This window comes from Homo sapiens, chromosome 8 (assembly GCF_000001405.40).
Source record: "Homo sapiens chromosome 8, GRCh38.p14 Primary Assembly".
NCBI classification, from domain to species: domain Eukaryota; kingdom Metazoa; phylum Chordata; class Mammalia; order Primates; family Hominidae; genus Homo; species Homo sapiens.
The window spans coordinates 65,655,160-65,670,581 of record NC_000008.11 but is presented as its reverse complement, the minus strand read 5'-3'; the positions used below and the strand labels follow the sequence as shown (position 1 = coordinate 65,670,581).

General features: G+C 42.2%; 1 protein-coding gene across 28 annotated transcripts in view; it reads right to left on the bottom strand.

Moving 5' to 3' along the window:
- The window catches only part of MTFR1 (mitochondrial fission regulator 1), a 134,710-nt gene that overhangs the window by 108,017 nt on the left and 11,271 nt on the right, over positions 1-15,422 (bottom strand). For 20 of the 28 annotated variants that reach the window (NR_182101.1, NR_182102.1, NR_182100.1 and 17 more), the window contains one exon: positions 564-709. Coding sequence is in view for 23 of the 28 variants with exons in the window: in XM_006716484.3 (XP_006716547.2) it covers positions 564-629 (66 nt within the window). In the remaining 5 variants the exon portion in view is untranslated. Of the gene's footprint in view, positions 1-563; positions 732-7,773; positions 8,433-15,422 lie in introns of those variants that run through there. The other 8 variants (NM_001413078.1, NM_001413070.1, NM_001413080.1 and 5 more) reach the window with 8 other exon arrangements.

The following is a 15,422-nucleotide window of genomic DNA, read 5'->3' as shown; positions in this document are numbered from 1 at the left end:
GCACAATACTTGCTCTAATAATTTATAGGTCTAAACAAACTTTATATATCAGTAGAAAATACTTATAAAAAATGTCAAGGTAAAAACTAATATCTCTAGCATAGAACAATCATTATAGTAACTTTTTTTTCTTCTTATCAATAGTTGTTATTTTTAAGAGACATAACTTACCTTTTAAACAACTGTGTTGTTTAAACACATTATAACAGCATTCAATGTTAATGATTCTACAACATTAAGAGCGCTGTCAAGTGTTGGCCAAGCATATTTTATGCAATGATTTTTCTGCTTATTTAAGCCTTTTCCTCACTAATAACAAATATATTGCTCTTAATGGTCACATGAATACTGGTAAGTTTTCAATGTAACCCAGAAAGTTACTTCCTTACTTCAGATGCTGAGAAAAGATTCACTTCTATGATTTAAATAGAAAGCAAATTAAACAGTACATAAACATATTGAATTCAAGATGTTGGTCATATATAGATTTATTTCATTTTCTCAGAAAAAATTCTTAAAATATCTAAATGTCGGGATTTAAAAAATGAATTTTGAGCACTCACCGATTGCATGCTTACTCCAACTTGTTGAAAAACCATCCTAATTAGGCGCTTAATCCAGCCAAGCATTTATATGGCAAAGTCTCCCCAAATTTGCATTTCAAGTACTTCTTCAGGCATACATAGCAGCACATGGTCCATAAAACACACTGAAAATTTAAAATGCAAATACTAAAATGAAATCATTATTATTTAGAATTTGTACTGTCTACATGTCTCACAGAGCAAGCCTAAAACATTTTTAAAACTTCATGTGCAGCCTGACCAACATGGAGAAACCCCATCTCTACTAAAAATACAAAATTAGCCGGGCGTGGCGGTGCATGCCTGTAATCCCAGCTACTCAGGAGGCCGAGGCAGGAGAATCGCTTGAACCCAGGAGGCGGAGGTTGCGGTGAGCCAAGATCGCGCCATTGTACTCCAGCCTGGGTGACAGAGCGAGACTCTGTCTCAAAAAAAAAAAAACCTTCATGTGTAATTTAAGAGAAAACAAGATTTGCTTGTGATCAGCTTGCTTAAAGTAACTGTAACAGTATAAGGTGTTTTGTTTTCTTTTGTATTTTTTTCAGTCAGTATTCTTAGCTGGAAGCAACAAAAACCTAGTATGGCTAATTTAAGTAAAAAATACATTTATGAAAAGATATCTGGTGGATAATAATCTTCAGAGAAACTAATTTATAGGCTACACAACCAAGGACGTTCAAAACTGCAGCAGACTTGGCCCTGGGAAAACACCACTGCATTTGCTACTACCACCACAGACAGGGTCCACGCAGTTCCTCCTTTTCCATGTCCCCAACTCCAAAGATGCTGTCTGTACTGGTCCATTTGCTAGACCAAGTCCACAGCTCACGTGTCGTAGCAAAAGGGAGGCTGACAAAGCAAGTACCTGGCTATTGTAACAAGCAGGTTAAGCTTCCCACCAAAAATCATAAAGGAATGAATTCCAGAAATACAGAACAGAAATTCAGATGCTGAAAGGCCAAAACCAATGAATAAAGTCTTTTAATATTCACTAGCACCATAACCCCTGCCATTCATTCTCTGCCCCACTCCCCATCAATCTACTGTATATCTGACAGAATTACAATGTTAACTTGTATGGTATAGACGAGTTTACTGGAAGTGTTGGTCTCTAACAAGATAAAGGAGTTTGCACCAGAACATGAATCAATACACTGCTCTCTCATCAATAAAAACTTGCTTAAGGCCGGGCGTGGTGGTTCACATCTGTAATCCCAGCACTTTGGGATGCCAAGGGAGGCGGATTGCTTGAGGTCAGGAGTTTGAGACCAGCCTGGCCAACATGATGAAACTCCAACTCTAATAAAAATACAAAAGTTAGCTGGGCGTGGTAGCAGGAACCTGTAATCCCAGCTACTTGGGAGGCTGGGGCAGGAGAATCGCTTGAAGCCAGTAGGCGGAGGATGCAAATAGCGCCACTGCACTCAAACCTGGGCAACAGAGTGACTCCGTCTTAAAAAAAAAAAAAAAAAGAAAAAAGAAAAACAAAAAAAAGAAAATCTTCCTTAAAGGCTGGGTGCGGTGGCTCATGTCTGTAATCCCAGCATTTTGGGGGGCTGAGGCGGGCGGATCACTTGAGGTCAGGAGTTTGAGACCAACCTGGCCAACATAGTAAAATCCCATCTCTATTAAAAGTACAAAAAAAAAAAAAAATTAGCTGGGTGTGGTGGAGCACGCCTGTAATCCCAGCTACTCAGGAGGCTGAGGCAGGAAAATCACTTGATCCCGGGAGGTGGGGGTTGCAGTGAGCTGAGATCACGCCACTACACTCTAGCCTGGGTGACAGAGCAAGACTCCCTCTCAAAAAAAAAAAGAAAAAAAAAAAAAAGAAAATCTTGCTCAAAAAGTCAGCTAAACCAAACAGTATGCTGTATGCCATAGTTGATTTACATAGTGATGTAAGCCCTTTATCTCATCATGACCAGAAACAGTTTGTGGTCTACGTTGTGAGAAGAGCTTTATAGATAACAACAGAGAATAGGAAGAAAAAGTAAAGGTGCCACAAATATGCCAAGTGCTGGGTGAAAATAAACTGAAAAGAGCTGGGCGCTAATGAAAGGAGGATGAGCATCATGGGTAAAAATGAACAGCAGTGGGGGAAAACAGGATGAAGTATAACAGGGTGTGAGTTCATATGAGAATCTGAGCTAAAAGCTTATATTGGGAAAAAGGGAAAAAGAAACATAAATCCTATTAGACAAACCTTGAACCTAGGTAGAAGAGTTTGACTCAATATGGTAGAATAGTTGTTTTAGAAAGTTTGCTGAATTTGGCCAGGTGTGGTGGCTCACACCTGTAATTCCAACACTCTGGAGGCCAAGGCAGGAAGATTGCCTGAAGTCAGGAGTTCAAGACCAGCCTGGCCAACATGGTGAAACCCCATCTCTACTAAAAATACAAAAATTAGCTGGGCATGGTAGCATACACCTGTAATCCCAGCTACTTGGGAGGCTGAGGCAGGAAAATCGCTTGAACCCGGAATGCAGAGGTTGCAGTGAGCTGAGATCACGCCACTGAACTCCAGCCTGGGTGACAAGAGCATAACTACATCTCAAAAAAAAGAAAAGAAAAAAGAAGAAAGTTTGCTGAATTCACCAAAGTTTAAATTAAGTATTATTTTTTAATCCTTTGAAAAGCTGTAAAAAAAAAAACAGTATACACATTTGGCTCTATAGAAAATTTTAACATGATGGAAAGTTCTAACTTTCCTTTTTTTTTTTTGAGACGGAGTTTCACTCTTGTCACCCAGGCTGGAGTACAATGGTGCAATCTTGGCTCACTGCAACCTTTGCCTCACGGGTTCAAGCACTTCTCCTGCCTCAGCTTCCCAAGTGGCTGGGAGTACAGGCATGCACCACCATGTCCGGGTAATTTTGTATTTTAGTAGAGACAGGGTTTCACCATGTTGGTCAGGCTGGTTTTAATCTCCTGACCTCACCTCAGGCGATCCACCACCTCAGCCTCCCAAAGTGCTGGGATTAAGGTGTGAGCCACCGCGTCTGGCCGGAAAATTCTAATTTTCTAATATGTTTTTCACTTACCTTTATAAGTATAATTCTATCAGATATACAGTATGTGTATCTGGGTATGGGAAGTGGGGCACAGAGTGAATGGGAGGGATTATGGTGCCAGGGAGTGTAAAAGAACTTTTGATATATATTTGAATTAGTGAAATAATGCTTTTAGTCTCCTTTATTTATTGGTGTTCCAAACAAGAGCCCTTAGCTAAAATGTCCAAACACCACTAAATTATATTAATAACGAGCTAACTTCACAGAACATTTGTTATGTACCCGGGATTATCAGGAACATTTTTATGCTTATTAAGTCATTACATATAAAGTCTCAATTATCACAAACCATCTTATTAAGGTAGATATCAAATTATCTTCTATTTGTAGAGGGGCAAACTAAAGCATAGTTAGTATAACTTGAGTAAGGGTCACATGTTTATAAGTGGCAAAGTTAGGACTCAAACTAGATGTTTCTGTAAGTCTGTGCTTTTATCCACTACACCATGTAACTAAACAAAAAGGGAGTAGTTTGAAAAACCTATTCGAAATTTTGAGCGTTTTGTTTTTGTTTTTGTTTTGAGACAAAGTCTCACTCCATCGCCCAGGCTGGACTGCAGTGGCGCGATCTCAGCTCACTGCAACCTCTGCATCCCAGGTTCAAGTGATTCTCGTGCCTCAGCCTCCTGAGAGCTGGGATTACAGGCATGCGCCACCACACCCAGCTAATTATTGTATTTTTAGTAGAGATGGGGTTTCACCATGTTGGCCAGGCTGGTCTCAAACACCTGACCTCAGGTGATCCACCCACCTTGGCCTCCCAAAGTGCTGGGATTACAGGCCTGAGGCACTGTGCCCAGCTGGGTGTTTTCTATTTTAATATTTTCATATTGTGATTACACTCAACTTTCAACACGTTTATATTCTAAAGCTAATGACATAAAATATTGAAGTATGAAGGCTCTGGACTTGAGTTTGTACCCTTGTTGTGCTACCTACTAAATGGTAAGTATTAACAAGTTATCTCTAGATAGGAACAGTACTCACAGAGTTGTAAGAATTAATAGAGATTAATGCATAAAGCCATTTTAGTAAAAAATCCTAAAAAAGTAGGTTAATGCTAACAGGAATGGAAAAGAATAGATGGATTCAATATGCCAATAAAAGAATTAACCAAAGTTGGTAAAGTAGCTGGTAAAGCTGGGTGTGACGTTGCATGCCTGAAGTCCCAGTTACTCAGGAAGCTGAGGGAGGAGGGTCCCTTGAGCTCAGGAGTTAAGAGTCAACAAAGCGAGACCCCATCTCTTTTTAAAACAACAACAACAAACATAAAGTGGCTGGCTAGCGCGATAAGGAAGAAGAGAAAAATCAAATTACTCCAAGGTTTTGATTGGAGATGAGAGAAATTATGACTATCATATAAGGAAATGCTGGAGAGTAAAACTCTTTAATGAAGGTGAGTCTAAGATGACAGAAGTGTATCTAGATGAAACTATGTGGTAGAGTGCTAAGCACTGGCAGGAATATATATTTATTGATTACTAAAAAAGGTCTGTGACTATATCTTTAATCAGGCAGATATATCTTAATGTTACCAGGATCTATTATCAGTTTTATAAATGAATCCTCTGAGAGCCAATGGTGAATAAAAAGAGCAAAGAACCAAAAATGATGTCAAAGCTGGAAATAACTGGCAAAAAAACAGGCAAGGAGAAAGGATGGTTTTATGTGGAGTTTGAAAACCTATCATTAAAGCCCAGGCATGGTGGCTCATACCTGTAATCCCAGCACTTTGGGAGGCTGAGGTGGGCGGATTATGAGGTCAAGAGATCGAGACCAAACTGGCTAACATGGTGAAACCCCGTCTCTACTAAAAATACAAAAATTAGCTGGGCATGGTGGCACGTGTCTGTAGTCCCAGCTACTTGGGAGGCTGAGGCAGGAGAATGGCTTGAACCCGGGAGGCAGAGGTTGCAGTGAGCCGAGATCATGCCACTGTACTCTGGCCTGGTGACAGAGCAAGACTCTGTCTAAAAAAAAAAAAAAAAAAAAATTTTTTTTTAAAAGCATGAAAAACTAAAATGTCAAATATTTCTTTGGCTGGGGCACGGTGGCTCACGCCTGTAATCCCAGCACTTTTGGAAGCCAAGGTGGGCAGATCACCTAAGGTTAGGAGTTCAAGACTAGCCTGGCCAACATAGCAAAATCCCATCTCCACAAAAAATAGCCGGGTATGGTAGTGTGTGCCTGTAATCCCAGCTACCTGGGAGGCTGAGGCAGGAGAATAGCTTGAACGCGGGAGGCAAAAGTTGCAATGGGCTGAGGTTGTGCCACTGTACTCCAGCCTGGGAGATGGAGAAAAAAAAAAAAAAAAAACAAAGGAAAACCTATCATTTTTATTTAAATTGAGGTATAACCTACACAGAAAAATATACACATAAGTGTCCAGCAAATTTTTATATATGTATATACCTTTGTAACCACCACCTAGATCTAGACAGAAAACAGTTTAAGAACTGAGTCAATATCCATGCCTTGCCTGTCTAACCACCACTATTCTAACATTTGCAACCATATATTAGTTGTGCCTTCTGACTTCTATAATTCAACACGGTGAGATTCATTCATGTTGTTTACAAATTACAGTTCTTTTTCATTGCTGTAAAGTATTTCATTATATTATTGTAACACAATTCATGTACTCATCTGTCTGTTTTTAGCTATTACAAATAAAAGTGCTAAGATAATTCTTACACAAAGATAGCAAGGTACACGTAAATGCTCATTTCTCTTGAGCATTCGCTTGAGTACCCAGGTATAAAACTGTTAGATCATAGGATATATATAGTTTTAATAGAAACTGCCTAACATGGCCGGGTGCAATGGCTCACGCCTGTAATCCTGACACTTTGGAAAGCTGAGGTGGGAGGATCACTTCAGGTCAGGAGTTCGAGACCAGCCTGGCCAACATGGCGAAACCCCGTCTCTACTAAAAATACAAAAATTAACCAGGTGTGGTGGTGCCTGTCTGCAATCCCAGCTATTCCAGGAGAATCGTCTGAGCCCAGGAGGCGGAGGTTGTTGCAGTGAGCCGAGGTGGCGCCACTGCACTCCAGCCTGGGTGACAGAGTGAGGCTCCGTCTCAAAAAAAAAAAAAAAAAAAAGAAAAGAAATTAAAAAAAAGAAGGAAGAAGAGAAGGGAAGGGAGGGGAGGGGAAGGGGAAGGGGAGGGGGAAAGAAACTGCCTAACATTTCCCAAGGTAATTGGACCAATTACACTCCCACAAGTAATTAAGAGAGCTCCAGGTACTCTACATCTTTGTCAGTAATAATTGGTATTGTTAGTACTTTTTTATTTTAGCAATTCTAGGGTTTTCTTCACATTTTGGGGGTATTTTGAGATCTTATTTTGTGAAGTATCTGTTTAAGTCTTTTGCTCTTTTTTTTTTTTTTTTTTAAATTGATCATTCTTGGGTGTTTCTCGCAGAGGGGGATTTGGCAGGGTCACAGGACAATAGTGGAGGGAAGGTCAGCAGATAAACAAGTGAACAAAGGTCTCTGGTTTTCCTAGGCAGAGGACCCTGCGGCCTTCCACAGTGTTTGTGTCCCTGGGTACTTGAGATTAGAGAGTGGTGATGACTCTTAACGAGCATGCTGCCTTCAAGCATCTGTTTAACAAAGCACATCTTGCACCACCCTTAATCCATTCAACCCTGAGTGGACACAGCATATGTTTCAGAGAGCACAGGGTTGGGGGTAAGGTCACAGATCAACAGGATCCCAAGGCAGAAGAATTTTTCTTAGTATAGAACAAAATGAAAAGTCTCCCATGTCTACCTCTTTCTACACAGACACGGCAACCATCCGATATCTCAATCTTTTCCCCACCTTTCCCCCCTTTCTATTCCACAAAACCGCCATTGTCATCATGGCCCGTTCTCAATGAGCTGTTGAGTACACCTCCCAGACAGGGTGGTGGCCGGGCAGAGGGGCTCCTCCCTTCCCAGTAGGGGCGGCCGGGCAGAGGCGCCCCTCATCTCCCGGACGGGGTGGCTGGCCAGGCGGGGGGCTGACCCCCCCACCTCCCTCCAGGACGGGGCGGCTGGCCGGGCTGGGGCCTAACCCCCCCACCTCCCTTCCGGACGAGGTGGATGGCCGGGCGGGGGGCTGACCCCCACCTCCCTCCCGGACGGGGTGGCTGCTGGGCGGAGACGCTCCTCACTTCCCAGACGGGGTGGCTGCCGGGCGGAGGGGCTCCTCACTTCTCAGACGGTGTGGCTGCCGGGCGGAGGGGCTCCTCACTTCTCAGACGGGGCGGTTGCCAGGCAGAGGGTCTCCTCACTTCTCAGATGGGGCGGCCGGGCAGAGACGCTCCTCACATCCCAGACTGGGCAGCCAGGCAGAGAGGCTCCTCACATCCCAGACGATGGGCGGCCAGGCAGAGACGCTCCTCACTTCCCAGACGGGGTGGCGGCCGGGCAGAGGCTGCAATCTCCGCACTTTGGGGGGCCAAGGCAGGCAGCTGGGAGGTGGAGGTTGTATCGAGCCCAGATCACGCCACTGCACTCCAGCCTGGGCACCATTGAGCACTGAGTGAACGCGACTCCGTCTGCCATCCCGGCACCTCGGGAGGCCGAGGCTGGCGGATCACTCGCGGTTAGGAGCTGGAGACCAGCCCGGCCAACACAGCGAAATCCCGTCTCCACCAAAAAAATACGAAAACCAATCAGGCGTGGCGGCGCGCGCCTGCAATCGCAGGCACTCGGCAGGCTGAGGCAGGAGAATCAGGCAGGGAGGTTGCAGTGAGCCGAGATGGCAGCAGTACAGTCCAGCTTCCGCTCGGCATCAGAGGGAGACCGTGGAAAGAGAGGGAGAGGGAGACTGTGGAAAGAGAGGGAGAGGGAGACTGTGGAAAGAGAGGGAGAGAGAGAGGGAGAGAGAGAGGGAGAGAGAGGGAGAGAGAGAGGGAGAGAGAGAGGGAGAGGGAGAGGGCTTTTGCTCTTTTTGTTTGTTTGTTTGTTTTGAGACGGACTCTTGCTCTGTTGCCCAGGCTGGAGTACAGTGGTGTGATCTCAGCTCATTGCATTCTCCACCTCTCGAGTTCAAGCGATTCTCCCACCTCAGCCTCCCAAGTAGCTGGGACTGCAGGCATATGCCACCATGCCTGGCTAATTTTGATATTTTTAGTAAAGATGGGGTTTTGCCATGTTGGCCAGGCTGGTCTTGAACTCCTGACCTCAAGTGATCCTCCCGCCTCGGCTTCCCAAAGTGCTAGGATTACAAGTGTGAGCCACCGTGCCTGGCCTTTTGCTCATTTTTAAAAACAGAGTTTATTTATGTATTTATGTATTTATTTTTGAGACAGAGTCTCGCTCTGTCACCCAGGCTGAAGTGCAGTGCCAGGATCTTGGCTCACTGCAACCCCCGTCCCAGGTTCAAGCGATTCTCATGCCTCTTAAATAGCTGGTATTACAGGCATGCACCACAGCACCCGGCTAATTTTTGTATTTTTAGTAGAGACAAGGTTTCACCATGTTGGCCAGTCTGGTCAGGAACTCCTGGCCTTAAGTGATACACCCCCTCAGCCTCCCAAAGTGCTGGGGTTACAGGCTAAAACAGAGTTTATTTTTTAGAGCAGTTTAAATGTACAGCAAAATTGAGTAGAAAGTACAGATTTCTTAATTGGGCAGTCTTCCCACTATCAATATCCCACACAAGAGTGGTGCATTTATTCCAATGGATGAACCTACAGTGACACATCATCATCTAAAGTCCACAGTTTACCTAACAGTACACTTTCATTACTGTACATTGTGTGGGTTAAGGCAAATGAATAATGATATGTATCCACCATTGTTATATCATACAGAATAGTTTCACTGCTCTAAAAATCCTGTGTTCCACCTATTAATTTACCCTCCTTCCCAACCCCTGGCATCTCTGATCCTTTTATTGTCTCCATAGTTTTGCCTTTTCCAGAATGTCATGAAGTTGGAATCACACAGTATATAGCCTTTTCAGAATGGCTTCTTTGCCTAGTAATATGCATTTAAGGTTCCTCCATGTATTCTCATGGTTGATAGCTCATTTCTTTTTAGTGTGGAATAACATTCCATTTTACGGAGATACCACAGTTTATTTATTCCTTCCCCTACTGGAGAACACCTTGATTGCTTCCACATTTTGATAAACTATGAATAAAGCTGCTCTAAACATCTCAGTGCAAGTTTTACTCCTTTCTTAAACAGTGTATTTAGTCAGGGTTCTCCAGAGAGAACCAACAAAATATAGATACATAGAAACAGATTTATTATGAGGGATTGGCTCATGCAATTATGGAGGCTAGAAAGTCCCACAGTCTGCCGTGTGCAAGCTGGAGGCCGACAGAGCTAATAGTGTTAAATCTCAGTCTGATGAGAAGGCCTGAGGGAGGGCCTGAGGGATATCCAAGCTCAAGCTGAGTACAAATTTGCTCTCTCTTTGTCTTTTATTTTATTCAGGCCCTCAAGGGATTTGTGATGCCTTTATTCAGTCTATATACTCAAATGCTAATCTCTTCCAGAAACACCCTCACAAATACACAGCAGTAGTGATGTTTTACCAGCTATCTGAGCATCCCTCAGACCAGTCCAGTTGATATATAAAATTAACCACCACAGATGGGTTTTTTTTTTGTCTTTTTTTTTTTTTTTTTTGAGACAGAGTTTCACTCCTGTTGCCCAGGCTGGAGTACAATGGCATGATCTTGGCTCACCACAACCTCCACCTCCCAGGTTCAAGAGATGCTCCTGCCTCAGCCTCCCAAGTAGCTGGGATTACAGGCATGTACCACCATGCCTGGCTAATTTTTTGTATTTTTAGTAGAGACAGGGTTTGGCCATGTTGGTCAGGCTGGTCTTGAATTCCCGACCTCAGGTGATCCACCAGCCTCAGCCTCCCGAAGTGCTGGGATTACAGGCGTGAGCCACGATGCCCGGCCCACAGATGGTTTTTTTAAATTATTATTTGAAAAATCATCCTTATTTGCCAGGAAAAGATGTTTCTTAAGTGTCGGCTAGAGATAAAGAATACAGAGCACTGGCTAGAAAAAACAGATGAAATGAGTTAAATCATATAGAGTAAGAAGGGAAGACTGGACAGAAAGCTCAGGAAATATTAATACTTTTAGAACAAACAGAAAAAAATAAAAGACACTGTAAGATACAATGAATCAGTTTATCTTCAAAGGTTTAGCCTGTTAACTTCCTTGTCCTTTGTTCTCAAACTCAACTTTCTCTTTCTACATGTCTCCTTGCCCCTAGTTACTGTAAACAGCCTACCCGCTTCCTGTCAGATCTAATCAATAACTCACATCTGTTCCCTTGGTTACCTGCAATATTGTTACCCCGAAACTGCACATCTCACCACTGTACCTCACGTCCCCCTTCTCTTCCATATTTAGAAAAATATTTGCAAGTAGCCAATCAGGTCAGCTCAGATTGCGTGGTCCGACCCCAGCCTATGGGGGAGTGACACAGAGGCAAAGACTACGTGTCAGGGATTGAAAAAAAAAAAAAAAAACCTCTCCTTTGTTCAGTGATCTTGATTGTGATCTTTTGTGATCTTGATTGATGCAAGTGGCACCCTTCTGCAGCAGTAAATTGCCTTGCTGAGAAAACTTTTGCCTGAGTGCTGGTTTCACTTTGTAGCACCGAGAATTTATTCCTAGAGCATTTTTATATCCAACAGACACTAACCAAAAAAAGATCAAAATAGTAGTAGAAAAATAAGAGTGGTATTATCACCAAAAAGGAAAATTTTGAGAAAGGTAATGGTCCTTGTTAAACACAGAAGGGAGGTGACATAGACGGTGGACTCCTGCTGCTACCCCTTCCTCCAAACTTCTTCACAGTGCTCTCTGGTACTTGTTTGTCTATAAACATCCCCCAACTCTGTATCTTATCTTCAACAGATTCACTCACTACTGAACTCCCCTGGCTTACTTCCCTCCCCGTGATGAAACTTGGCTTCCCTTTAGAATACTGCTTCTCCTACAGCTACTGCCTTCTCAAAGGGTTTCTGCTTGCTTATTCTCTTACACTTTACATCAGTGCTGTTTCCTGTCACCTATTTTTCTAAGCTCTTTTAGAAGCTCTTGCTCAAAAGCAAAACTACCCCAGAGTGCAGACAACATTCTATTTCTTAACCTGGGTGGTCATTACATGGATATTTGCTTTGTGGCAATTTATTGAGCTGTATTTATGTCTGTACTTTCTTCTGTGTTACACTTCAAAATAAATAAGGTTTTTAAAAAAATTGCTAAGAATCAGGTGGCATTTTGTTTTCTAGGTTCCTTATGAATCAATGAAAATGTGTGTGTGTGTATATGTGCATGCACACATGTGTGTGTATTCAATTCCTACAAGTGTTATGAAGATGGTATAGGCTTATATTCTAGACTATCTACTCTACTCTAGCATAGAGTATAAGAAATAGCAAATTAATTTTGGTTGGCAGCTGGTAGAAGAGAAACCCAGATAAATATTGGAAATAGACTTTCTTTTTCTTCTACCAACACTGTGAAAATATATAATAGTATGTAGCTCGACTAAAATTTATAGCAGTCAAATTGAAAATAATACAAAATAATACTGTCTTCAACTAATGTAATATCTGTTTTTGAGATAGTTATAATAAAAAGTTATCAGCAGTAGTTTCATAATAACTCTGTTAGCAACAATGACAATGTTGTCACTACATTTAAGATGCCAAAAATTTACAAAGTTATAACAGCATGGTGGGGCTTATTTTTAGAAGGTTTTTGAGAACTATTCAAGGAAATGGCCATTTAACTATATTTTCATTATGAAAGATGGGAATGACTCATTTTAGAGTTGGGGAAAATAAGAAGATTAATAGAATATTCTTAGTTATGTGGCTGGCATTTTGTTTTCTAGGTTCCTTATGAATCACTGGAATAATGTTTACTATTCTCAGAATGCTAACAGATAAGGCAACACAGATGACAGTCCACATTTTAAGGCCAAATGATGGAAAATAAAAATAAGGACTATGATACTGAATGTTGCCAACACAAAGAAATGATAAATGTTTGAGATGATGGATATGCTAACTACTATGATCTGAGTACTACACATTATATGTATTGCAACATCATAATGTATCCATAAATATGTACAATTATTATGTGTTAAATTAAAAAAGGAACGTGAAGTTATTGTTCTCTCTACCACTCAGAGGAAGACAATCATTACCCAATTAGTGCTTTTTTTTTTTTTTTAGAGACAGTCTCACTCTTCTGTCACCCAGGCTGGAGTGCAGTGGCATGATCATTGCTCACCACAGCCTCAAACTCCTGGGGCTCGAGTGATTCTCCTGCCTTAGCCACCTGAGTAGCTGGGACTACAGGCATGCACTACCATGCCTGGCTATTTTTTTAAATTTTTTTTAGAGACGGGGTCTCACTACATTGCCCAGGCTAGCCTCAAACTCCTGAGCTCAGGCAATACTCCTGCCTCAGCCTCCCAAAACATTGGCATGAGCCACTGTGCCCAGACCATATAAGTGATTTAGTTTGAACCCTGCTATGGTGTGAATATGGTTTTTCCTCACCAAAACAACAACAAAAACAAAAACTGCTCTAAAAATAAAATCTTGTTTAAAACAAATAAATAGACTGGGCGCAGTTGCTTATGCCTGTAATCCCAGCACTTTGGGAGGCCAAGGTGGGTGGATCACATGGGGTCAGGAATTCGAGACCAGCCCGGCCAACATGGTGAAACTCCATCTCTACGGAAAATACAAAATTAGCTGGGTGTGGTGGTGCATGCCTGTAATCCTAGCTACTTGGGAGGCTGAGGCAGGAGAATCACTTGAACTCAGGAGGCGGATGTTACAGTGAACAGAGATTGCTCCACTGCACTCCAGCCTGGGCAATAAGAGTGAGACTCCGTCTGAAAAAAAAAAAAATAAGTAAATAAATAAATGAGGATTATGAACTAAAAAAAAGAACAAAAAAGTATTCAGTTGAAAGTTACTGTCCTGCAGGTGTGGTGGCTCACATCTATAATCTCAGCACTGTGGGAAGCTGAGGCAGGAGAATCACTTGAGGCCTGCAGTTCAAGAGCAGCCTGGGCAACATACTGAAACCCCTTCTCCACAGAAATTTTTTAAAAATTAGCCAGGCAGCCGGGCATGGTGGCTTATAGTTGTAATCCCAGAACTTTGGGAGGCTGAGGCAGGCGGATCACCTGAGGTCAGGAGTTTGAGACCAGCCTGGCCAACATGGTGAAACCTCGTCTCTACAAAAATACAAAAATTAGCCAGGCATGATGGTGGGTGCCTGTAATTCCAGCTACTTGGGAGGCTGAGGCGTGAGAATCGCTTGAATCTGGTAGGCGGGGGTTGCAGTGAGCCAAGATCGCGCCATTGCACTCCAGCCTGGGCAACAGAGAAAGACTCCATCTCAAAAAAAAAAAAAAAAAAATTAGCCAGGCATGGTGGTACATGCCTGTAGTCCTACTGACTCAGGAGGCTGAGGCATAAAGATCTCTTGAACTCAGGAGTTTGAGATTACAGTGAGCTATGAGTGCACCATTATACACAAGCCTGGACAACAGAGCAAGACCCTGGCTCTAACAAAAATAAAAAATAAAAATTAAAGAATAAAGTTAATGTCCTTTATTTTGAGACTATGTCCTTCCTATGCTTATGGTGTAAACGCTACTTTCCTTTTATGATACAGGGACAGTAGATGAATGTTGTTTGTTTTTGTTTTGTTTTGTTTTTTTGAGACAGAGTTTCACTCTTGTTGCCCGGGCTGGAGAAAAATGATGTGATCTCGGCTCACTGCAACCTCTGCCTCCTGGGTTCAAGCGATTCTCCTGCCTCAGCCTCCTGAGTAGCTGGGATTGCAGGCATGCACCACCATGCCTGGCTATAATTTTTTTTTAAATGTCCTTGTCACAATGTTTAGTTGTCAACCCTACATCAACCCACTACCATATATATATATATGGTATATATATATATATATTTTTTTTTTTAAGACAGAGTCTTGCTCTGTCACCCAGTGCAATGGCGTGATCTCAGCTCGCTGCAACTTCTGCCTCCTGGGTTTAAGTGATTCTCATGCCTCAGCTTCCCAAGTAGCCAGGATTACAGGTGCGCACCACCATGCCCAGCTAATTTTGTATTTTTAGTAAAGACAGGGTTTCACAATGTTGGCCAGGCTGGTCTCAAACTCCTGACCTCAGGTTATCTACCTACCTCAGCCTCCCAAAGTGCTGGGATTACAGCCTTTAGCCACTGCACCTTGACCCTATACTACCTTTTGAAAATTAAACTTTGAAATTCAAGTCCAGGGACCACTGCTATCCTTCACATCAGTCCAGTTGATACTTAAGTCAAAACACTTTACCATACTATAAAACAAAATATAGTATTCAATCTGTGGGTACAATTTACTGGTAGTAATTTTGAATTAATATTCCATATGGCTCATGCAAAATTAAGTACACTGCTACTCCCAGTACCAGCACAGGATCGGACATATGTCATTTTTTCAGTCCACAAGGGAATAAATCTCATGACCTATACTACCACATCTCTCAACAAAAACAAAAACTAGTAAGATAAGAGGTCCATGAACACAGGCTAATCAAACTTGGCGCAAATTCTTTCAAGCTAATGCAATTTAGATATAAAATTAAACTTCTGAAGGACATTTTTAGATGTTATCTTTATGATTTAAAAGAAGTTAGAGACAGAGATCATATTCATATTTGAACTAAAGGCTGACATTTTCATGTGAGAATCTCTGAAATAT